The sequence below is a fragment of the Homo sapiens genome, chromosome 3 (genome assembly GCF_000001405.40).
Source record: "Homo sapiens chromosome 3, GRCh38.p14 Primary Assembly".
Classification (NCBI taxonomy): Eukaryota; Metazoa; Chordata; class Mammalia; order Primates; family Hominidae; genus Homo; species Homo sapiens.
Window position 1 is genome coordinate 108,892,155 of NC_000003.12, and position 25,396 is coordinate 108,917,550.

The 25,396-nt window shown below is 39.7% G+C and overlaps 1 protein-coding gene across 3 annotated transcripts in view; it reads right to left on the minus strand.

Annotated features, from left to right (window-relative positions):
- Positions 1-15,637: 15,637 nt before the first annotated feature.
- GUCA1C (guanylate cyclase activator 1C) overlaps positions 15,638-25,396 on the minus strand; it is a 47,404-nt gene continuing 37,645 nt past the window's right edge. For 2 of the 3 annotated variants that reach the window (XM_011513334.3, NM_005459.4), the window contains exons 3-4: positions 23,973-24,060; positions 15,638-16,055 (exon numbers count right to left, since the gene is read on the minus strand). In XM_011513334.3, coding sequence (XP_011511636.1) covers positions 15,868-16,055; positions 23,973-24,060 — 276 coding nt within the window. In that variant the 3' untranslated portion in view covers positions 15,638-15,867. Of the gene's footprint in view, positions 16,056-23,932; positions 24,061-25,396 lie in introns of all 3 variants that reach the window. The other variant, NM_001363884.1, reaches the window with a different exon arrangement.

A 25,396-nucleotide genomic window follows, 5' to 3' on the forward strand; every position in this document is an offset into this window, starting at 1 on the left:
CGTTAGAGTGCTCAATATTGATCCAAAATAGCTGGGCCTTTATACTCTGCCATTGATCAGTTAGTTGGTGAATGTGGGCCACCCACTCCTGCCATCCAGGGCCATAACCTTGAGTGAGGCAGCTTTGCACCTAAAGCAACCGCAGAAGGGGATGGCAGTTGGAGGTTGTCTGCTGAAAACATTGTGACTGGCAGCAAGTCCTTCCTTAAAAGGGGATCTGGACAACATATCTCCATGTCCACCTCAACCTGAATTATCAATAAACTAGAGATTCACAACTTTTACTCCCACAATTCATCATTCTTAGGATTTGGTGTGCATCCTTCCAGACCTTTCCCTCTGTATTAGTTTCCTGTTCTCTGTGTCTGTATGCATGGATGTGAGTGTACAAATAGCATTATACAATAGGTTTTTTCATTCATCATGTCTCAGAGATCTATCTAGTTTGATTCTTTTGGATCTGGCACATCCCTAACAATTTTCCATTTATGAGTATTGTTGAAGGAATAGCTGTTTGCCAATCCAGGATCTATTCTACCTTCCTCCTTCCTCCTGATTTTATTTAGAATCACGACATGCCCACATAAAATGCTACATGCTCTCTTGTAGCTAGGGTGATACATGACACAGTTCTGGCTCAAATCTGGAAGTGGAGGTCACTATGTGAGGCTTTTAGAAAAGCTTTTCAAATGCCACTGACTCTGCTGTCACAATGTCCCGTCCCTTCTTCCTTCTGAAACACAGTTGTGACGGTCAGAGAGGGGGGTCAGGAGCCCCCTGTGACCATGTGGTTGGGAGCAACACTTACAGGCAGCAGATCAGAAAGACAGAAGGAGTCTGACACTTGGATGATATTTTGAATTTGCTACACCAGCCCTGGACCAACTACCTCTACATTCTGCAGTGTGAAAAAAAATAATAATAATGCATTTGGTCAGAACACTCCAAATTGAGTTATCTATTGTGTACAACAGGAACTAATCCCCAACTAATTCAAGTGTATCTGTTTACTTACCTGTTCCAAATTGATAGACAATTTGTTTTCGACTTTCCCTCTTACAAAGCCGCAATACGTATCCTTGTATATGTCTCCTTAAGCATATGTGTGAATGTTTCTCTAGAGTAGATTTAAAAAGGAGGAAACCCAGGCTGATAGGGTATGCACATATTTAGTTTTAACCAGTGACCTGAGAGATTATGATATTTCCACAGCAGTGAATGAGGACTCTTCTTCGCCCTCATCCATCCTAGATACCAACTTTGATATTATTCCTTTGTTTTTTTTTCTAGTCTGACAATAAAACAATTATTGCTTTATTTTGTATTTTTCTGATTACCAGTGAGGCTAAATGTCTTTTCATATGTTTGTGGGATAATTCTGTTTCCAAACTTTATGCATTTTTCCACATAGTTGCTTGTCTTTTTCTTACTGATTTTAGGAACCTTGCATTTGACATTTATCTTTCCCTCTGATATCATGATGTTTTAAACATATAATATAAAATTAAATTCTGGAATTTCATCAATTTTTTTTCCTCAAGTTTAATTTTAGTTGATAATGTCTTAAAATTTGTTACTATGATAATTACAGTTATAAAAGTAACTTTTTTACAGTAAAGTTTCACTGGATCAACTGAGAGAAACCAGACTGAATGAGAGGAAAGCCCAATTTACAGACTAATAAATTAGTGATTATTAAATTGCATTAATCAGTAAATATTTGCTATAGTACTTCACTATTAAAAAGATATTTAAAATTAATAAACTAATTGTTTAACTTTTAATAGGTATCATCACATTATTCTAAAAACATTTTGCATATTCTAGAGTGCAGAATTTATCAAAATCTCCACCAAGGATCTTTTTGGAATTTGTACATCAAAATTTACAAAGTTGTTTATCTTAGTTCAATGTAACATTTATTCAATGTAACTAAAAATGTATACTAAGTGCAAGAAACCATGGCAAGGACACACCAAATAAAAAGTCAGCTGTAAAAAAGATTGGAAGGATAATTGTAATAATTATAAGAACTAAAATGTACTGTTCATTTACACTACATATCCAGGCACAATGCCAAGTTATTTACCTTCAATAAGGAGAAAATAATGACAAATCAGAAACTGTCAATCTAGATAGATAGTTATTTCTGAAATAGAGTTTCTCTCTAAATCCTGTATATGAAATTCAAGAGTCAAGGAATCAAAATATTTTGTCAATTTCCTTTCTGAATCCCTAGCAAATTATATTTCACCATATGTTTGGTAAATATTATGGAGTTATATAAGTTTCAAAGTGAACTTCAGTTTAGAAAGGTTTAAATTTTTCAAAATTTCTGGATAAGTAAAGTACAAATTAATGTTTACGGTACCGATGGTGCTCGTTTGGCCCTTAGCCAAATTAATCGTGAGTTTAAGGCCCTGCTTTATAACAGGCAGGCAGCTGTAACCGGTTTTAGCTTGCGCTAGGTATGGTCCGAGGATGCCTTATGCATATAATCAGCACCCAGAGATCCTAGAGTTTTCTAGCTCCATTACCCATGACAACTTTTCAACATGCCTTTCAAGCTGTTATTGTTCTTTGGGGAGGAGTACAACATGTTATAATTGAGAGTATGGGATTTAAGATAAAAAGCATATATTCAAGTCCTGATTTGGGGACTTAATGACCTAAAATCTCTTGAAATCATCTGAGCCTCAATTTTTTCATCTGTGAAGTAGGAAGCATAATAAAGCCTTCTGCATGTAACTTCTATGAAGATCAGATGAAAAATGAGTGTGAACGTTCTCTGTAAATTGGAATGTACTGTACATGCTATTATTTGTGGTTGTTGAATTAAATAATTGCATTGAATGAATTCTGCCTCAAGGTGTTAAGTTTGCCTACGTGGAGAAGAGAATCATTGAGATCTGTCGGCATCTCCTTTATGTCCCTGTGATAGCCATGGTGGCTCTATCTATACCTACATCTCAATTATATCTGCATCAGTGCATCTTTATATCTGTGTTAAAAGAGAGTGACGAAACTATGACAAACCGGAAAATCCATTTTCTGCCTCGAGAAGGTTGTTGTTACTCAACAGCAGCTCACTAGTTGCTGCCCAGTATTGCCTCAATCTTTAAATTTCAAGACAAGATTAAAAAATCCATGTGATTTTTTTTAATTGTTAAAATATGCTCTGGGTACCATAAATGATTGGGTCTGGCCCATTAGCTTCTTTTTTGGGATTCATGGCCTAAAACCAATGCAGACAGAGCTATAATACTTTGTCGTCCATTCTCTCTCGGGTCATTATTCAATCTTAGTCCTCTATGTTTTATCACTCCGGTAGGAAAGCAAGGATTGTCTAGGATGAGTCAGCAGATAGGCTGCCGTCCACTGGATCAGGTACCCAACCTTGGTTGCAAATTGGAAACACCCAAAGACCTTTAAAAATTGCTGAAGTCTGGGTCTCAATCCCATAGATTCTGATTCACATGGCCTCAGGTATAACCCGATCTTCGGGATTTTGTAAAGCTTCCCGAGAGATTCTAATGGGCAGCCAGGATTGTGGTCACTGAAGTGATGAAGGGAAATTGGGAGGGTTCACCCAGTGCCTGGAGCAGTGGTTATTAGTAGGTGATTGGGGGTAAATTCTCCAGCTGGCAGTGGGAACGTGCCAAAGTCTTATGGGGATCATGTTAGCAATAGGAATAGTCCTGAGTACTTAGAGAAATGCTCGTGGCTGAATGAATGGATAAAGAAAATGGATAAGAAAATTTCTTAAATAATATTTCTTTAAGTATTAATTATTTAAGTACATATATACTTAAAGAAATATTATTCAGCCATGAAAATGGAAGAAATACTTCTATATGAGAAAATGTGAATGAACCTTGAGGGCTTTATGCAAAGTGAAATAAGCCAGACACAAAAAGACAAAAACTGCATTATCTCATTTGTACTTGGAATCTAAAAGAGTCCAACTCAGAGAAGCAGAGTACAGTAGTGGTTGCCAGGGGCTGTGGGGTCCGGGGAATTAGGAGATGTTTGTCAAACGGCACAAACTTATAAAATGAATAGATTCTGGGGATCTATTGTACAGCATGGCAACTATAATTAATAATACTATATTGTATGCTCGAAAATTGCTAAAAAAGTGTTCTTGGCCCAGCACGGTGGCTCACGCCTGTAATCCCAGCACTTTGGGAGGCTGAGGCTGGCAGATTACAAAGTCAGGAGATCGAGACCATCCTGGCTAACACGGTGAAACCCCTTCTCTACTAAAAATATTAAAAAAAAAAAAAACTAGCCGGGTTTGGTGGCCGGCGCCTGTAGTCCCCCCTACTGGGGAGGCTGAGGCAGGAGAATGGCTTGAACCTGGGGGGCAGAGTTTGCAGTGAGCCAAGATCGCACCACTCCGAGATTGCATGCACTGCAGCTTGCATGACAGAGCGAGACTCCGTCTCAAAAAAAAAAAAAAAAAAAAAAAGGAGTGTTCTCACCACAGACACATGTGAGGTGATGGTTGTGCTAATTAACTTAATTGTGGCAATCATTTCACAATGTATACACATATAATATCATCATGTTGTATCTCTTAAACATGTACAATTTTAATTCATCAATTTTACCTCAATAAATCTAGGGGTAAAGTCCTAATAGGAAAGGACTTCTACAGTATTTTAGACCATGCTTAAATTTAAAAAAATTTTTCAGACAATGCTTAAAATTTGCATTAATTCTATAATAGTTTGTTTCTACAGTATTTAACAAAAGATGCTTTGCTTTACTTTGTCATTCACTTAGCTTTGTACCATATGTGATGTGAAATGAGGCTCCGTACTTTTGTAACTTCAGCACCATGTGCTATTCTTGCCTGTCCAGCTCTCTGCCTTCTGGAAACAGAACTCCTCTCTGCTGTAGGAAACCCATTTCTGAGATTCAGGTGAGGTTGAGGATGGCTCCCCATGCAGCCTGCCCCCATCCCACAATATACACCAAGACAAAGAAGGTGTGTGTGTGTGAGCAAAGCTAGACATACCCTCCACCTTCCTAGGCACAGTGGCTGATACAGACAATAGTCTCAAGCAGCATAGGCTTCCCTCAGATTTGATACATGGGTGTTGGTGGAGCGGGTGGGAGGAAGGGACTGTTCTCCTTGGGGATGGAGAATTGGGTTAGATTCATTTGTGGCCATCTATCTCAGCCTTAGAGAGGACACTGAAGAAGAGTATGAGGCCAGAGTACAGAGAGAGAAACAAAGATGAGAGATCCAGAGAGCTGATAACATCGTCATTTGAGCCCTTTGTATCCAGCTGTCTGAATGTTTAAGTTACACGTGTGAGGATATTTTCCTTTTTGCTGAAGCTATGTCAAGCTAGGATTCTGCTGTTGACTGTTCTACTGAAAGTAATTCTTATCCTCCACTCCTAAGCTGATGTAAGCAAAGTCATCAATTTACCTGAAATCATGACATAAACACCTGCTAAAATAGGACTGGAATGCAGCAGCTCGATCTAGGCTCACTGCAAGCTCCGCCTCCCGGGTTCAAGCGATTCTCCCCCTCCCGAGTAGCTGGGACTACAGGTGCCCACCACCATGCCTGGCTGATTTTTTAATTATTATTATTTTGGTAGAAACGGGGTTTCACCATGTTGCCCAGGCTGGTCTTGAACTCCTGAGCTCAGGCAATCCACCCACCTCCGCCTCCCAAAGTGCTAGGATTACAGGTGTGAGCCACCGCACCCGGCCGAGAGCTTTATCTTTCATACCAGATTAATATTTTATCAGAAAAGAATCCTCCGCATAGAAAAATAAACTGTATACCAATTAGACCAGACAGTAAATCTGGAGAGATCCAAGCTCTGGTCAGGTCCAGCTTTACTCTTTTTACAAGACCTAGGAGAGGAGCTCACAGAGATAAAAGAGGAAGATACACTCAGTGTGCTATTGTTACAGCTCACATTTTTTCTCTTTCACTTTTACATTTTTGTCTTTCACTTTTCTTTCCCCTAACTGACCTATAAATTCAATGTTATTCTCATAGACAATCCCAGCAGTGGTTTTGTGAAAACTGGCAAGCTGACTTTACATTTTACCTAAAAATACCAAGGGTCAGGTATAGCCAAGGAAATTGCAAGAAGAAAAAAGAAAGCAGATATCAGATATCAAGACTTATTGTAATGTTATAGTAATTTACAGAATATGGTATTGATGCAGGAATAGACAAATAGATCAATAAAACTCAACAGAGCATTTTTTTAACCTTTAAACCAATTTCAGACTTACAGAAAAGTTGTAAAAACAGTACAAAGAATTCCCTCATATCTGTCAACCTCCTTCTCCGAATGTTACCATCAGATTGATTTTCAAAGCAACTTTAAATTTGACATATAAAATTGTTTTCTAAGTTTTGTTTTAATTTGTGGGTTTTTTTCTTATCATCTGTGACCCTGAAATATTTTTTGTATGTTTAGTAGTCAGTGTATTTTCTCCTTTGCAAATTTTCTATCCTGATAGTTTCCCCATCTTTGGAATCTTCGCGTTGTTCTTGTAAATTTGTCTGAGGTTTTGTATTTTAAATGTGTTAGATGTGTTTGTCGTACTTGTACAAACGAATTTAACTTATTCTTTTCTTTTTAATTTTTTGATTACATAGTTTTGTGTTTTTAAGTATTTAAAAAATCTATTTATATTTTGAGAACCATTTTGCATTTAGTGGTGGTACATCATTTTATTTTTTCAGGATATATTTTGAATTCTGGAAAAAGCCAGAAACAATTAGTAAGTCAAGTGTCCAGAGTACAGATAAACAAATGTTACTGTGGTAAGAAAACTACAGATCAAAAACCAAAACCATCAGCAGCTGGATGATAATATGATGATAACATTATGATTTTCTTGTGTGATCAAGCAATTGCTTAAAAGCCAATTTCAAAAATATTTTTTAAATGGCAGCATCAGTTGGATGATATGAGATCCCATGGAAATTAATTTGAAGGATAACAGAAAAAACTATTTTCCCATTATGACTTCTGCGATCTAATGAAGGGACACATAGTATGAAAGACTCTGAATTTCTTTCACAGTATGAAAGAAATTGAGTTTTGTTAGCTCTGTCACTTTTAAGGTGTGTAATTATTGACAAGGTTTGTATTTCCTCTGTTCATTCAACATATTTGTTAAGTGCCTACTATGCACTAGGCTGTGTCTTAAGTGCTGAGTATCTGTTAATAAACTAAAGAGCCAAAAATCTTTGCCTTGTAGAATTCATATTCCAGAGAAGACAAACAAAGAATAAACAAAATAAACAATGGCATAGTAGGTTAGAAGATAGCAAACACTACCTTCTAACATTACTTCTAAAATTAAGTAGGGTAGGAGCATAGAGGGTGTGAGGGTGAAGGAAATGGACTTTTGCAATTTAGAAAGGTGGTCAGGAAAGGCCTCACTGAGAAGGTTACAATTTAGCAAAAGCTTCAATGGAGCAAAAGCTTGATGGAGGCGAAAGAAAAAGTCGTGTTGATATTCTGGAGGTAAATATCCCAGGCAGAGGAGAGCAAGAGCCAAGTCCCTGAGGAGGGCTGTGCTTGGAGTGGTTTAGAAGTGGCCTCTGTGGCTGAAGTGGAGTGAATGAGGGCAAGAGTAGCAGCAAATGAAGCGAGAAAAATAAGGGGAGAAGAGCAGGTAGATTATGCAAAGCCCTAAAGGCCACTCTGAGAACTTTGGCTTTTATCTTGAATGAAAATAGGAGCTACATGAGAGTTTTAAATCAGGATCTGCCTTATGCTTTTTTAAAACAATAATATGTATTTTTATTATAGCATAATTTTTTTTCACTCGGCAACCACTCATGAACATTTTCCTGTGTCAATATACGTTTATCTATAGGTAAGATTATTTTTTCTTTTTTTAATTTATGCATAATAGATGTACATAGTTTGGGGGTACATGTAATAATTTGATATATTCATATAATTTGTAAAGATCAAGTCAGTGTGCCTTATGCTTTAATTGGATCACTCTGGCTGCTCTATTGAGAATAGACTGTGGAGGGACAAGGGTTGAAGTGGGGAGATTAGTTAGGAAATCGCTAGAATAATCCAGATGAGACATAGTGACAGCCTAGCACAGGCCAGTAGGGTAAGAGGTAGTAGCTTGGTACAGAAAGGGTTCAAATTCTAGATATATTTCAATTTAATTTTCTCATATATACCGATCTGAATAATAGGTATTAAATGATAGTCATAATAGCTACATGTATATCAAAATTATCTTAATGAATTGCTATCAATTTTGACGTTACATTTCTTAAAATGCTCCTTAAAAGTGTAAGTTATTACAGAAATGTGAAGTGTATGGTTGGAAGAAATAAACATCTCTGCTGGAGTAATATTCATGTGTGGAATAGAGGCCAACCATGCCATCTAATTGTAAGACTTTTCCATGAAAACAGATGAGGGCTCAGGGTCATTCTAAGAGCATGGGGAAAAATCTTAAAGATTGGTATAATCTTTATACCAATGACGGTAAAGTTTGAGGGCCAGTCGAAAAGGCCTGTTGGTATTTGATAGATTTTGTCCATCCAGAGATAATTGTTTATAGATGGTTATATTCTTAGACCTCATTGGAATGGCCAATTAAATGTGACTCAAGAGCCAAGATATTAAAGTATCTTGGACAAGTATATAGCCTTCCTCAAGGTCAGACTGGGAAATATTCCCTAAGAAGCAACCTTAGCTTCATGTACCTGAGGCCTTAAAGATTCTAAAAGTTGGAGGTGCCAGAATGCACTGATACATGATGAGGGCCGGGCACCATGCTAGACATTTATGTGTGTTAGCTCATGTCATCCACACAGTAACCCAACCAGATACCTGAAATCTCATTTCATGGGTATGGAAACTCTGGTTTATCAAGGTAAAATAGGTACAATGACTTACCCAGAGTGATAGAGTTAGCGAGTGGTGGAGACGAGATCTGCATGCATGGAAGCCTGTGACCTTTTTCTTATATTTTACAAAGGAAATATGTAGGACTCCATGTCCCCAAGGTACTTTAAAGGTCAATGCTAGGAGATAGAATGTGGATGGATTCTGGCCATTTCCATGGCAACCATGGGGATGGGACGCTCAAAGAGATGTGAGAAGTTATGGTTTCCACACCTGGTCACGCATTACAACCACCATGACTATCAGAGATACACATTTTCTTTCATGTTGAAAGATTTCCAGGTAACTTTTATGTAGACAGCCTATCACTGGCCTGCCATTCTGTGCTTGATGAAGAGCACTCAGAATTAGGTGTAGGGAAAAAAGTAAATCGCCTGTGACGTAGAGTCCATAGGCAGCAATCTGAGACTCAGTGGCCAGAAGAGTCCAAAGAAATCTGGGCTTGCCATTTAAATCAAATGTAAAAATTTTTTCCTCGATTTTGTTTCTAAACAATTAATCCTTTTGAGGTGCTAAAGGCATCATTTCCTGCATTGTGAAAGTCTCATGGAATGATACAATATTAGAGGTGGAAGGAAACTCAGCAATTGTTTCTCTTCAAGAGCGGAGAAGACCAAGACTCAGACGTAAAGTGACTTGTCAAAGGTCACTAGAATCCAGATCTGACGCTCACTCCAGTGCAGTCTCCACCAAGCCATTCTGCCTCTCTAAATACTTTTCTCAACATTGTGTGCCATTCTGCTGAAAAAAACTTGGTATTCTCGGGGTTTAATTTCAACATTCAATTTTGCCTACCTGCAGCTGTCCCCAGAAACAAATACTGAGTACTGAAAAAGCTATTCCCTGTCCACCCAATTTTAATGATTTAAATTTCTTCAGCAAGCACAGGACCCTACCTTGGGTTTTTTGTTGTTGTTGTTGTTGTTGTTGTTGTTGTTGTTGTTTTGAGACAGATTCTTGCTCTGTCGCCCAGGCTGGAGTGCAGTGGCGCGATCTCAGCTCACTGCAAGCTCCGCCTCCCGGGTTCGCGCCATTCTTCTGCCTCAGCCTCCCAAGTAGCTGGGACTACAGGCGCCCACCACCGCGCCCGGCTAATTTTTTGTATTTTTAGTAGAAACGGGGTTTCACCGTGTTAGCCAGGATGGTCTCGATCTCCTGATCTCGTGATCTGCCCACCTCAGCCTCCCAAAGTGCTGGGATTATAGGCGTGAGCCACCGCGCCCGGCCCTACCTTGGTTTTAAATGTCAGGACTTTTCTGTATTTCATTTTCATTTCTAAAGGTTATTCTAATATAAATGGGGGAGGGGGAGCAGAGCTTGTAGGTCTCTTCATTTGCCTCTTAGTCATGCTTTCAGTGTTAAACAAACCACATTTTCTGAGTTATTTCCCCAATAACTTTTACACCAACACGTTTTGGAAAGAAAAATGAGGGAAACATTTGCTACACCTAAGCCATTTCCTATCTACTCTTCTGCTTTAAACAAACACTTCTCTAGCTAAAATGTTCTCTGTTCATGCCTGGAGAACCCAGGCTTCACTGAAGGAGCAGCTGCTGATTGGCTGCTGCAGTGTGGGGAAGGGAGGGAAATCAGATCAGTGCCGTCCTCCTCCTGGACCAGCTGCAACTCATCTGTTTCCTTCTCTCTTTATCTTCATATTTTGGGCCAAAGAATCGGGACATCTGCTTCCTGGTGCATCTTCAGTTGTACAGAAAAACTTGAGTAACATGCTGTTAGCCTAATATTTAAAATTTTTTCTGTCATTTTTATAAGGCAAAAATTATTACAAGCTTTAGTGTCTTTCTCTTCATCTTTCTCTCTTTTTAAAATAATGTCTCTTAAAAAAATAGTAAAAAAAAAAAATGTTGCTTTCCCCAGGAAACACTCCTTGACTGTTAATACAGGTTAGATTCCAGTTATATGCCCTCATAACCCCTTGTATGTCAGCTTTTAGCATTTAACTACAATTACAATGAATTATTCAATCATGTAACTCACTGATGTCTCTTACCCACTATGACGGCAAGGACAATATATGTCTGATTTACTGCTTTATCCCTGGCCTAGTACAGTGCCATGCACCTGGAAAGCACTCAGTAAATATTTCTTTAATGAAAAAAGTAAAATAAAATAATATCTCTTTACTTCGAAGCATCAAAAATTGTGGTAAAAAAAAAACAGGAAAGTAGTAGGAAGATCTAGATTCTTCTTAAACAGTGATGTCATTCTGGTTTGGCCACTACTCTTTGGTCAATGGGAGTCTCAGAAATTAATTAAGGTTCTTGAGGTTCTTCAGACACTTGGCCCACATATCATGGAATCCCTTACTTGAAATGTTACTGTATCGCGGCCGGGTGCGGTGGCTCACACCTGTAATCCCAGCACTTTGGGAGGCCGAGGTGGGCAGATCACGAGGTCAGGAGATCCAGACCATCCTGGCTAATATGGTGAAACCCCGTCTCTACTAAAAATACAAAAAATTAGCCAGATGTGGTGGCGGGCGCCTGTAGTCCCAGCTACTTGGGAGACTGAGGCAGGAGAATGGCGTGAACCCGGGAGGCGGAGCTTGCAGTGAGCCAAGATCACGCCACTGCACTCCAGCCTGGGAGACAGCGAGACTCCGTCTCAAAAGAAAAAAAAAAAAGTTACTGTATAGCCATAAGAAGGAAAACTCATGTAATTCCAATTAAATACAATAAAACTGAACTAAAGTTTTTTAAAAAGTCACTGGACAGTAGGCTCTACTTAAGGCTTATCATCTGAAAGAGGAAGACATTTATTTTAAAATATTCGGTTTATTAAAATACCATGACTTGATATGTAGATTAGGACTATTCCTTTGGACTCAGCATCATGTTGTTAAATTGCAGAGAAAATAATGGAGAAGGAGCAGGACTTTGGTAGAGATGACTTTAAGGAGAGTTGAGGGAAAGAATATGGCTTTCCCCCACAGTCTCTCTCTCTCTTTCTTTTCCCCTCACCTCACCTAACCATGAACTTAACCTAATTTTTTTTTTTTTTTTTTTTTACATGGAGTCTTGCTCTGTTGTCCAGGCTGGAGTGCAGTGGTGCAATCTCGGCTCACCACAACCTCCGCCTCCCAGATACAAGTGATTCTCCTGCCTCAGCCTCCCGAGTAGCTGGGATTGCAGGCATGCACCACAACGCCCGGCTAATTTTTGTTTTTTAGTAGAGATGGGGTTTCACTATGTTGGCCAGGCTGGTCTCGAACTCCTGACCTCGTGATCCGCCCACCTCGGCCTCCCAAATTGCTGGGATTACAGGCGTGAGCCACTGCACTTAGCCCTAAAATTATTTTGCTCCTGAATTTCTGACTTATCTCCTTCTTTGGACCACCCTCAGAAAAAACTATCACATAGATATTGTTTTATGATTTGTTTTCTTATAATGAACAGTTAGCATCTTCACATTCTCCTAATCCACCAACCAGTGCTTTTTGTTTTTGTTTTTGTTTGAGACAGGGTTTTACTCTATCATGCAGGCTGGAGTGCAGTGGCATGATCATGACTCACTGCAGCCTCAATCTCCCAGGCTTAAGAGATCCTCCCACCTCAGCCTCCCAAGTAGCTGGGACCACAAGGTGCACGCCACCACACCTGGCTAATTTTTGTATTTTTTGCAGAGATGGGGTTTTGCCATGTTGCCCAGGCTGTTCTTGAACTTATGGGCTCAAGCGATTCTCCTGCCTCAGCCTCCCAAAGTGCTGGGAATAGAGATGTGAGCCACCGTGTCTGGCCTCAACAAGTTTTCCTAAGCAACCTACCAGGGTGTGCTATGTGACACCAAGAGAGGACACACAGATAGGACAAAGCTATTCTTTGGAAAGGGAAGTGAGTACCCCTTTCACTTCTCTGCTATGAACCTGGGGGGTCAGTTTGGGAGGCAGAAGACCTGGAGTGAGCTTTGGAGACAGCACACAGAACAGAACTTAGAAATCTAAGAGGCAGCATCTCGGGAAAAACCGAAACCAGATCTGGGCAAACTACACAAACCAGTCATGATGCCAAATGGACTATATGCTGAGAGAGAGGATCAAGGCATGAGGCAGCAGAGTGACGGGAGCCTGGGGAAGTCAAAGGGAAACTACAGGGTTCAAAACAGACAGTGGGAGGCAGGGCCCAGGCTAAAGCTGAGCTTGGATGCTCTTAATATGCTACCTATGATGGTGATGGTGTCTGGACGGTGTCCCCTTGGCTCTTCCTACCCATCCCATCTGTGCTGGTAATTAAGTCATGAACTCTCAGCTCCAAGCCCATCCTTCTATAATAGGCTCTGTGATGCTGGGGTGGAGTCCTACTGACAATTCTCCTTTGCCAGCTGTTTCCCTGGTAGGCTCAGCCCATAGCGGGTGCTAGAGAGAAACTGCTAGGCAAGAGGAGGTAGAACGACCTGATCCCTCCCGCTCCTGTCAGCCTTGCCTCAGCAACAGCCCTGTCGTAGCAGTGATCATTGATTGCAATGCTTTTCCTACAGTCCTCTGAGGCACCCTGTGTTCCTTCCATGGAAAACTGGGTCCCAGCTCTCCTCTTTCAAGCTTCTGTGTTCTAATAACCCCAACCTCTTCCCTTTGCTCCCCTAGCCTAGGATGGTAGCTGCTTCCTGCCATTACTAGTTCTGTGTTATTTCAGTGTCCTCTCTTTGCATTTCCAGTCTTCCAATGCCTTTTAAATCAATTCCTTATATTAAACTCTCTCTGTTAATGTAAGTGTGGTCTCCATGTGTTTCCTTGACTGGATCTTGCCTGACTGAAGGGTCAATCCTGTTGAAGGTGGGGAACCCACCTGCTTCTTTTTCTACGTGCACCGAGCACTTACTCTGGAATTTTGTTGAGTGGACTTATTTAATCCTAATAGTCCAGTGATGTTGCTGTTATCCCCATTTAATCCTGGTAGCTGAGACTCAAAGAAGTTATGTCGTTTCCCCAGAGTCACAAAGTACATGCTATTAGAACATGCTAATAGAACTTGATTCAGACCCAGGCTTGCCTGACTCCCAAGCCCTTCTCTTGTATTCCAACTTGCTGTCTGCTGTTCCTGCCAGTGTCCCAACTTCCTCCTTGCACTCTCCCATCATCTCCTTCTCTTTCCTCTGAGTGGGGTGTGCGGAGGTGGTTGAGTCCTGGGGCAGAGGAACAGAAGGGCCCTGAGTGCCCATGAAAGATGGGTGGAGGGGAGGATGTTGAGGCTACAGAGTCCACTGAGTTGAAAGGATCCATGAATACAATACAATGCCTGGAGTGAGAATGGCGCCGCCAGTAGTGAAAATAGCCAGGCCAGGGAGGGAAGCATTGGGTGGGAATTCTGAAAGCGAAAGCCAAGACAGGATGAACTTGGGAAGCAATAGCTTCTGCTTTGAAACTGCTGCCTTTTCCCTAAATAGGTTCAGATACCTTGAGAAAGATTAAGCTACAAGGAAAATGAGTTCTGTTTAGCATTATCCTTATAGCTTGCATTTGCAAATCTTAACAATACATGGAACATTGGACAGTTTAAGGCACAATGTCATCTGGCAACACAACAACTTTGTGGGATTGTTTACCTTGCTGATGTTCTGGCTCTTATAATGATGTTTCCCTTTTCACTTCTAGGAGGCTCAGAGTCCAAAGAGTAACCCACCTTTTGCAAATGAGTAAACTTTGTGTCACCACAGCTACAATAATTTTCCTTATATTATCTGTGATAATTTTATTTCAACATTTTATCTTGCATTGCATACATCTTTGTGAATCTCCTCGAAATCTTTTGGAAAAAAATTCCGAGGACATTTCTACCTCCATCTATATGTTCATCTAAATGTTCTTCTATAACTTTTTCTCGACCTCCATTTATACTTCATTTCTACTGTCATTTATTTCCTCCTTGCCTCCGTTTCTGCACTGATCTGCTCGGACAGCTGTGAGGGAGAAATGGATAGTCCAACTCTGTCTTTGTAGTCTTCCAGTTGTGTGTTTTTAACCCAAATTTGAATATGAAAGCCTAATTATGAAGCTTTTGACATAAAGATGGTTCACATCTGGTCTTAGAAACCTCCACTGTGTTTCTACAAGAAAGCCAGTCGTTGACAGACATACTAATGGGCCTGTGATATAGAACTCAAGCCTTAAAAAGTTCTAACCCATCAAGAAATCCCATTCATCATTTCATTTTCTGGAAAGGATATAAAAAATGAAATGTCAGAGCTATAATGTCAGGACTGTTTAAAATGTCAAGTGCTTGTTGTTGCATAGCCTGGCTGTCTGCTGTTCTGATCAAACCTCCAACTGGCATAATAATTACAGATGATACATCGCATTTTCATGCACAACTGGATGCAAATTTATAATGAATCATATGAAAACATTCTCACTGCCCAGCCTGAAGTTTTTCCCTCTTACTACATAGCTTAAGATTTTTCTTTTGAAGCAGAGCATCATTACTAATGCAAGACAGCATTCATGAATAAGAAATAAGTGCAGAAAAAAAAGTTTCTCAGATAAGCCAGAACTCAGTCATTTATAATATACAGATGCAACAGGAGCAAAGAGGCAGCAAGCACATTTACCACATGGATGTTTAATCTAAGAATGCTAAACTGTGGAGACACTTTCCAATGGATAATCCAGATCTATTTCAAGGTGTAGATTAAGTGCACAAGGAAACACATATGAGAGCTCTAATTTGAACAGATAGGTATGGAGACAATCCTTTAGTGTAATCATTATGTTTTAATCTGCAGAGACAGCACAGAAAAGCAACAATGCATCTGTTTAGGATCTTTATGCAAGTCTCTACTGGATTAAAATAAGTGCTATATTCACAAGCCTATATGAATTATAACAAAGACCTGAAATCAACAGCATGTACATGGGGAAGATTCTATTTCTTCTCTACTGAAATGTTGTGCTCATTGATAGCTGGGACAGGTATTCTCACAGCTACTTCATTTTCACCTTCCCTAGACCAGCCTTGTCAGGAGATTTGGAGGAGTCTGTCTCCATGTCTGGCTGCTTCCCATTACAGATTACTCTCAGCACATTGGAGAAGTCGAAGCTCTTGTAAACAATCTCCAGGAGATCCTGATCTTTTGCCATGCCATTGATAAATTCTTCTAAAGTCAATTCCCCTGGAAAATAATAAACAGTTAATAAGAGGCTTTGTCTATACCACTCACTGGCACAAATGATATACTCACTGGTATGTTTATTGATATTCTTTTGATATCCTTTCCCCTCAACCAGACTCTAAGATCTTTGAAGATCTTCATTTAAACAAAAAAAAAAAAAAAAAGCATTCACTGGTGGTGTTGCCAATGAAAATAAAGATAATGAAACTATTTTTACGTTTAGTTGAAAACATCAGGTAATGCCCCAGATGAAATAAGAGCACATATGCAATTATATCTCTGCACAGTATTGGTTTTTGGACTTTTAATCTTGAAGATATGACCAAGTCTTAGGAGCATGACAGATTGGAGATTTTTAAGATCAAGACAAAATGACTACTCACAAGGCTATTTTCAATATTCTTCTCTCTGAAGAAATAATTCTTGGGACTGTCTAAAGCTGTGAGAAAGCTTCAACATGTGTTCATTCCACAGGTTATTTTTGCTCATTAGTTCTCTACTCCTTTTCTGGTTTTTGAGTCCTGATCTTATCACCTTGACTTACACCTTAGGTCTGTGCTGGCCAGCCCACTGCTGTAAATTTATCGCCTTATATCCATGTGTCCTGGCTGCCATGTTTTTCTACTACCTTCACCCCACAAGATGACTTTCAAACATTTTTGGGGAGGGGGAATTCTCTGTTGATATAAATCATTTGGGTTGGGATTATGAGTGTGTTCAAGTTGAAGGGTACAGATGCAGTTATTGATCTCAAAGAGACTGTACCCAGGGGAGGTTTGTGGATGGATAGATCAGCCAAAGACGGACGGAGTGCATTCAAGAACTGGAGAAAGTACATTCAAGGAAGGAAGTCAACAGGGACTGAAGTCAGGTGTTAGGCTGTACCTATACTTTTTAATGGAGAAGACAAATATCTAAAATACCACAATATTGATTCAAATGTCAAACAGCATGCATCATCATATATTCGTAAGACACCTCCCTTTTGGTTTCAATGCAAAATGCTAAAATGCATTTTTTAAGAGAAAAATCTAATCTGTGTTCTTTATGTTTTGCTTATGCCAAAGAAAGGTCTGTGAAAAACCTTAGTTAACAGCAGTCATGAGTAGGGCCCCATGTGTGTCACAGAAAAGGTACAATCGTAGAATAAACCATAGGGAGTAGAGAAGATTGCAAATTTTTAAAAGTGGTATGTGTGTGGCAGGGGAGAGTCCCATGGGTCAGTGGCAACGGGGTAGGGAACCTCAAACAATCACAGAATAACCGCCCTTTGCAAAAGAAAATCACAGCTGGCAAATTCCCAACCCCAAAGACTTTTCAAATTTATCGGGGCTCAGCATGACCAAGAGAGAAGTGGAAGTGGAGCTGGAGACAGTTTTGACTGTTTAGTTATCAAACTTCTCTGCTATAACTACTGGCTATAGAAGAGGCAGCATCTGAAAGAACCGGGATATAGTAGTGGTCTCAGCTGAAAAGCAATACAGGTTACTGACATGGAAAAGACAGAAAAGATGGAAGTATTCACTGCTGTTTTTTCACTTTCTTCAAAACACTTGTGAATTCTGCTTATTAACTTTTTTCATGTTACCTAACCACTTACCATAAAAAAAAATCTCTGTTCCAAATCATCAAACTCTACCTATAGTAACATGTTTACCATATCTAAACTACTTCTTTTGAAATTTTCCTCAGTTTCCCTCCAGCACTCAACATTCATTCATTTATTCATCATGTTTATTAAGCCCTAACCACAATTACCATTTCTATTACCACACAGCTACCGCCACTATAGCCGACGACAGTGCTATGAATATGGTAGGTGCTCAGAAGGCACACACTGACTAATTGCCTTCCTTTATCTGATGTTCTTTAACATTACTTCCTATTCTGCTTTGATTTGACTGTGGATTTACGCCCCAACAAATTAAAAGAATGGGCTTCCGTATTTCCCTAGAAAGAGTCACCTGTGGAGGTCCAGAAGCTTCCCACTAAAGAATCTACCAGCAAGGCCGTGAGCGGTGGCTCACGCCTGTAAACCCAGCACTTTGGGAGGCCAAGGTGGGCGGATCACGAGGTCAGGAGTTCCAGACCAGTCTGGCCAACATAGTGGAACCCCATCTCTATTAAAAATACAAAAAAGTAGCCGAGCGTGGTGGAGGGCGCCTGTAGTCCCACCTACTTGGGAGGCTGAGGCAGGAGATTCGCGTGAACCCGGGAGGCGGAGGTTGCAGTGAGCCGAGATGGCGCCACTGCACTCCAGCCTGGGTGACACAGCGAGACTGTCTGAAAAAAAAAAAAGGCAAAGATTCTACCAGCAAAAAGCCAATGCCTGTGAGAGATGATAGAGCAGGGAGATCATGGGACTTAGAAGTAATCTGAAGTCATTACTGAGTTTTTATTACTTTGTTTTATATATACAGACACATTTCAATTTTTTTTTCTTCTTCTTCTTTTTTTTGAGACGGAGTCTCCCTCTGTCTCCCAGGCTGGAGTGCAGTGGGGCTATCTCGGCTGACTGCAAGCTCCGCCTCCCGGGTTCACATCATTCTCCTGTCTCAGCCTCCCGAGTAGCTGGGACTACAGGCGCCCACCACCACACCTGGCTAATTTTTTGTAATTTTTGGTAGAGACGGGGTTTCACCATGTTAGCCAGGATGGTCTCGATCTCCTGACCTCGTGATCCACCCACCTCGGCCCCCCAAAGTGCTGGGATTACAGGCGTGAGCCACCGCACCCGGCCGACACATTTCAATTTTTGTAGGACATTATTCAGAAACTTCACGATTTTATTTTTATAAGTTGAAATATATGTAATTGGAATCTACGTTGTTTAGGGCTATTTGTTGTATTGGTGGGTGCATTCTGTATGTCTGGGGACCCTGAAGGTCAGTATCACTGGTGGCCCTTTCATCACTCACTACCAATTTCAGGAGTTTCATTAGTAATAGAATAGCTACCCAGGAATGTTTAATTAGTCCTGTTTTTGCAATCCGGTTACCTGTTGATATTCCTAAATCGTGCATTTCTTCCCATTTACATCTTAAATAATCTTTTATAACAAAACAAAACATTCTCCTTCACCCCCACCCCCTCAAAAAAGCAGAATTTACTGTGCATGCCTACATTAGCATTTCTGGTCTAAAGAAGTCATCCTGGTTTTAAAATAAATCAGCCTGTGTAGAGGATTTTTTAAATTTTAATTTCTTTTCATTATAACTTCATAAAATATTGAGCTGGGGCTGGAACAGTAGCAAAGATAGGTTGGAGAAGATTCAGGAGATAAGAATAACCAAGTTGTCAAGGGAGGATGCTGGTGAAGATTTTGAATGTCACAGAATTGTGTTTATTAGCAAGGTGGCACTAGAAGCATTTAGCAACATTTTACAGGAGAGCTTTAGCATGCAGTAGTTTCTTTTCCTCTACGTGGAAACTCAGTTCCCTCTTATCTCCTGGTAATTCTCGTTTTCCCAGTTTGATTCAATGTGACCCTCGTGGCTTTTCACAATATTCCAGTCTAAAGCACTGGTCTTTCTTGTTAGTTAATCAATAACATTTATTTGTGTCCTGACTTTGTTCTTTTTACCCAAAATATCTGCTCAATAATCACCCTTTTTGGCCGGGCATGGTGGCTCATGCCTGTAATCCCTGAACTTTGGGAGGCCGAGGCGGGCGGATCGCCTGAGGTCAGGAGATTGAGACCAGCCTGGCCAATATGGTGAAACCCCGTTTCTACTAAAAATACAAAAATTAGCCGGGCGTAGTGGTGGGTGACTGTAATCCCAGCTACTCGGGAGGCTGAGGCAGGAGAATCACTTGAACCCGGGAGGCGGAGGTTGCAGTGAGCCGAGTAGTGCCATTGCACTCCAGCCTGGTGACAGAGAGAGACTCCGTCTCAATAATAATAATAATAATAATCACCCTTTTCATTTCCTGTTTGGCCTCTTTTCACCTTCACCGTTTGTTATTAAGAGCCACTTAAGTCTCCCTTACCCCTGTGCCTTAGTTGGCTCTATGTGAGACTTACCGAGGCACTTTCTGCACTTGATGTTGTGAACACCTATAAATCTCCCTAAATCATGTCAAGAATGATGCCTAAATAGAGCATGGTAGAATATGGATTGCTATTCTTCTGGTGGTAAAGCCTGCAGAATTCCACACTGAATCATTTTTCCTGACTTGTCTTGTTGTCTTCTCTGTTTTCATTTTTGAATAATATTGAATGTTTAGCTTCAATTTTTTGCCTCTGTCTCTTCAAGCTCTCTTTCCTGATGCTTTTGTTCGTAATATAAAAATAAAACTAATTTGTTAAATTATAACAATAATATGTCCTCATGATTAAAAAAATTGAATAATACAGAAAGATGTAAAGAAAAGAAAAAAATTGCCCTTTAACCTCTTTCTGGCACCTGGTCTGATTTCCCAAAGGTAATTAACTCCTGCTAACTGATCCAGGTTTATATTTTATGAAGTTTTTAACATATATACATGTATTTGTTAATTTCAAAAAAAAAAAAAAATTCTAGATACCTTTCTTCCTATAGACAGAATTGCATATTGTTTCTTGATTTAATCTTTTCTTTATTTCTTACATGACATCTTCTTAGCAGACACTCTTTCATTTCACAGTTATTTATAGAGCACCTACTGTGTGCCAGCATAGGAAATATCAAAGTAAACAAAACGGAAATGGTTCTGGCCTTTGTGGAGCTCATAGCTCTTCATCTTGTTATAAATCTAGCATTAATCCTGTACCTTTATTTTGCTTAACCTTCTAACTTTGATTTGCTATTATGAGAATTATGTTTAGAATATTTCACAACTGTTGTGTATTTTTCTGTCACAACAGATGTGATGTTGACCATTCTTTTGCAAACAATTAACAATCAAATTGGGATTTTCATATGCATACCTAAAGTCTTTTTAGTTGTATCTTTGTGTGCTGTGATCATCTTTACTTTTGGTTTCAATATTCATTATATTATCGGCATAATGATGTGCTTGCTTTTTATTTTGAGAAATAAATATATATATATATATATGTCAGTGTACAGTCAACAGCATTTTGGTATACTTAATTGAGCATCTCTATTTCTATCAATGCTGATGTTTTGATAACAATGATAATGAACAATAAAAAATTATATTTGAGGTATACAGAGTTTAGCTTTTACAAATGTGAATAGACATTCTCCTCTGTGGTGCTAATTCCCCCTTTATTTGTAAATGAAGCACTTCATATTATTCTTCTCTGTCAAATACTGGCCAAATCCTTTTGTACTTCTGCAAATATCAACCTTTTATGTCTTCATCACTTTTTCTTCCTTGTCTTTGATTACACTGGGCTGTCTCTGTTCACCAGCACATTTGTTAACATCTTTTTCTTGATGTATGGAATGATCCAGCTGTCTCATGATGAAACGATGTAACAAATGTCAATAATTTTTATACAAAAGCAAGTTCTATCAGTTTTAGTTCTGTATATGCATTTGCTAAGAAATAGCGATTCATAGGTACTCCAAAGTGTATATAGATGTGGATGTGCGTATATTTTTTTTACTTAAAATACAAGTTTTTGGGGCTGGGCACGGTGGCTCACACCTGTAATCCCAGCACTTTGGGAGGCTGAGGAGGGTGGATCACAAGGTCAGGAGTTCGAGACCAGCCTGGCCAATATGGTGAAACCCCGTCTCTACTAAAAATACAAAAATTAGCTGGGCATGGTGGGGGGAGCCTGTAGTCCCAGCTACTTGGGAGATTGAGGCAGAAGAATTGCTTGAACCCAGGAGGCGGAGGTTGCAGTGAGCCGAGATCACACCACTGCACTCCAGCCTGGGTGACAAAGCAAGACTCCATTTTAAATAATAATAATAATAGTAATACAAGTTTTTATAAGAGGAAACAATTAGTGTATTTAGTTTTATAAACTATTCTAGAAACCATAATTCATCTCCTTTTTTCTGTCGCTGACTTATTGTTGTAAGTGAAAGAGCTCATCTCTCTAACTTCAGGTAACCTCAGCTATTGCCCAGGCACAATTTCTCTTTTCTGAATTCACGTCTCTTTTAACCCAGCCCTTTCTACTTCAAGTTCCTTTCTAATCACAGTCCCCATTTTATCGATTCCTTATACTTTGCCCTTGGGGAACCTTCTTGGATAGTAAACAAAAAGTCCTGAATCATATTCATGTTTTCTCGAATACACTATCTGTGTCCTCAAACTAATAGAATCTTAGTGTTTTCCTAAGAATACCAAAATCTTCGTACTTCTCCGAGGAAGGTCACTTTCCTATTCCCCTCACTCCTAGCACTAGAAGCAGTGTTCATGGATATTATTAAACATTCTTGACCTGCCCTTTTGAAAGTCACTGTATAAACCAAGTCTTAAAACTTTGTGATGTCCCATCTACTTCCGGAGTACTCATTCTTCTACATCAGTGCTTTCAGCCCCAGGCTGAAATGGATGATTTACTCTACTCCAATCCCTGCCATCCTGCAGCACCTCTAAGATTAAAAACAAAGTGAAACAGAATAAAATCTACAGCATTTCTCCAGTTCGATGACCACGATTTTCAGTGGCATATTCCAAATAAAGTCTTCATTGTCCTCATCAGACCCTCCACTCTCCATTTCTCTGGTCCTTTCCTGGCTGCACGTAGCCTCCTTATCTACTCTGGGTAGTCTGACTCTGTTTCTTACAAGCTTTCACATGTACTGACATGTTTCATTATTTGATGTCAGTATACTAGTAAGTGAGCATACTGAATTGAGATTCAGGAGAGGCAGATCTACACCGAGGTGCTTAAGAGAAGAAGATTGATGCAACTGATGCATCTTCAAATTTCTTTCTTGAGCAGTATACTCTTGTCCAGTCGTTTGGCTTTTTTGCAGCAGTGGCTGCATTTGAGCTTCCTCCCGGCCTCACCATCCCATCCTGCCACGCTGAGCTGCCACATTTTACTAGTACAACCTGTCACACTCAACATGGGAACATGTGTCTCTACTGCCCTCTTGTGTCCACCAGAAGAAGTGATGCATGGTGGGCAGGTTGATGCCTTTGGAAGGAGTTTTGGAATGATGACAACTGTGATTGGCATGCCAATGCCTCTTATCCGTTTTCTTAAACCTTTTACTAATATCCTATATTTTTAACAATGTCAAATTTTCTGTTTTTCAAGGACCATTCCTAGATCTTCTGCCTCAATCTCAAGTCTTTATGCTCACCTACCTGTTTGCTGATATCAAAGCTACATGGTAGAAGCACTCATTTCTCTTGGGCTGTCTGTGTCTTCTCTCTTCACTCCTACCTCTGAAGAAGAAAGGTACCTCCTCTGAGCTAAACAGGAACCCAGATTACAGAGTAGAAAGAGCAGATGGAGAAATAATCAGAGCAGAAATGTAGATAGAAAAGGTAGAAAAAGCAGAAATGGAGGCAAGTGTGGACTCTTCTCCAGAAATGTTTAGTCCAAAGGAAGAAAAAAGCCTGATAGTAGAAGAAGATAGCATAAATGAAGGAAAGTTTTCTGCAGTAGGGAAAACTTGAGTTTATTTATAAGCTCAAGTTTTCTGTTACTGGAGAGTTTTCCTCTCCAGTGGAGAGGAACTGATTAATAGAATGTGTCTCAGAGCAAACAGCAGAAGGTACTTACTTCATCCTATATTATTCTGATTTATTTGCTCATCTCACCTTTACTCTTTATATATCCCAACATGTCAAGCACCACACATTGGAAATGAATATGATCAATAAATATTTACTCAATTGAATCATACTGAGAACATTGGATTGGTCCCATTATGAAGCCTAAGTCACAACTAGGGTTCTCTTGAATGGTTCCTGCTTTTGTCTAAATAACACTCCCCACTACCACCATCTCCTACTTTGTAGGAAAAGTGATCCAGTAGAGAGTAGCTCCATTACCATCATTGTTTATATCGATCTTATGGAACACCAAGTTGATGAATTCTTCAGGACTCAGAGTTTGCTGGCCATTGAGGGCTTGTACCGCCTGCAAAAAGACATTAAATGAAAGAGGTCAACTTTTCTGGAAGCAAATACATTTTGCAACATTTCTGCTCCGATGTGACAGAATTTGGGGATGTGTTGTCGGTTGCTATCCAACCTGTACCAGTTGTTAAAAGTAAATAAAAAGAAAAGATTGTATGTCAGTTCTGGGTAATGAGACTTGGAAATTAAATGAACTGAATAAAGACTGAAGCCCTATTTTATACAGCATACAGGGATCCATTCAACATATTAGATCACAACAGATGCAATGAGCCCATTGGAGAAAATATTGTAGTGGTCATGATCATAAGAATTCCAGACCCAGAAAACAGATATTGCTCTCAATTTCAGACAGATTGATTTGGGTCTTATGGATGAAAGTAAAAGGATGACCACAATGCTGTAAGAGTCTCAAGCTTCCTCTCCGGCTTCCACCGCTGGCACCCCTGGTTCTTTGTGCCCTTTTGTGGAATGATTGACTGGGGAGACAGATATATACACCTTAGAAGGGCCCTGAATTTCTCCCACATACTGTCAGGGCCCAGGGGGCAAATGACATTTCCAGCCTTCCTAGAGGGAAGATGTAGCCAGCCTCCCCTAACTCCAAGGTGATTAAATTAAATGACCCAGACTTGACATAGAACTTCAAAATAAAATGAAAGAGGATTATTCATTTGGGAATTTGAACATAACTATCTTGATTGAACATGAAGGAATCTTTAGAAAAACTTCTAGCAACATATTTCAATTAGAGGACACAATCATAAATATGACTCTCTCTCTCTTGCTTCTTCTCAAGCATTACCAAACTTGAGTTCCAGGAGTAATCATAATAAATGATGGTAGCTTTTTATTATCATTATTAACCAGTCTTGGCTTTAGCAAGTTTAGGTCTGATGGATCTCATGGTTAAATATAGGACAGTATTTAAAGTAATAGTTACATACATACAGCATCACATTTGAAGAAAATTTTAAGGATTTCTCAGTGTTTGGTCAGAGGCTTCAAAAGCCTAGAAAATGTGGCCAAGTATCCAGTATCCCCACATTCTGAAGTGATATTAGCCCACATAAAAAGTCATGATAAAAAATTGTGAGATCTTGATTTGTTCATCACCAATCTTCAGGTCATATAAGTGAAAGTGAAATACTGATTGGAAAGTGGAGGAGCACTGAGGGGATAATATTTTTGGAGGGAGTCCTCAGCTTGCTCCGTTTTCCTTCTTTTTTTTAATAGAAGCAGCAGGATCAGGGGATAGGCAAGAAGCTTTTTTTTCTTCTTCTTCTTTCCTTCCTCATTTACTATATGCACTCTTTCTTCCCTAGTTTCCTAATCGC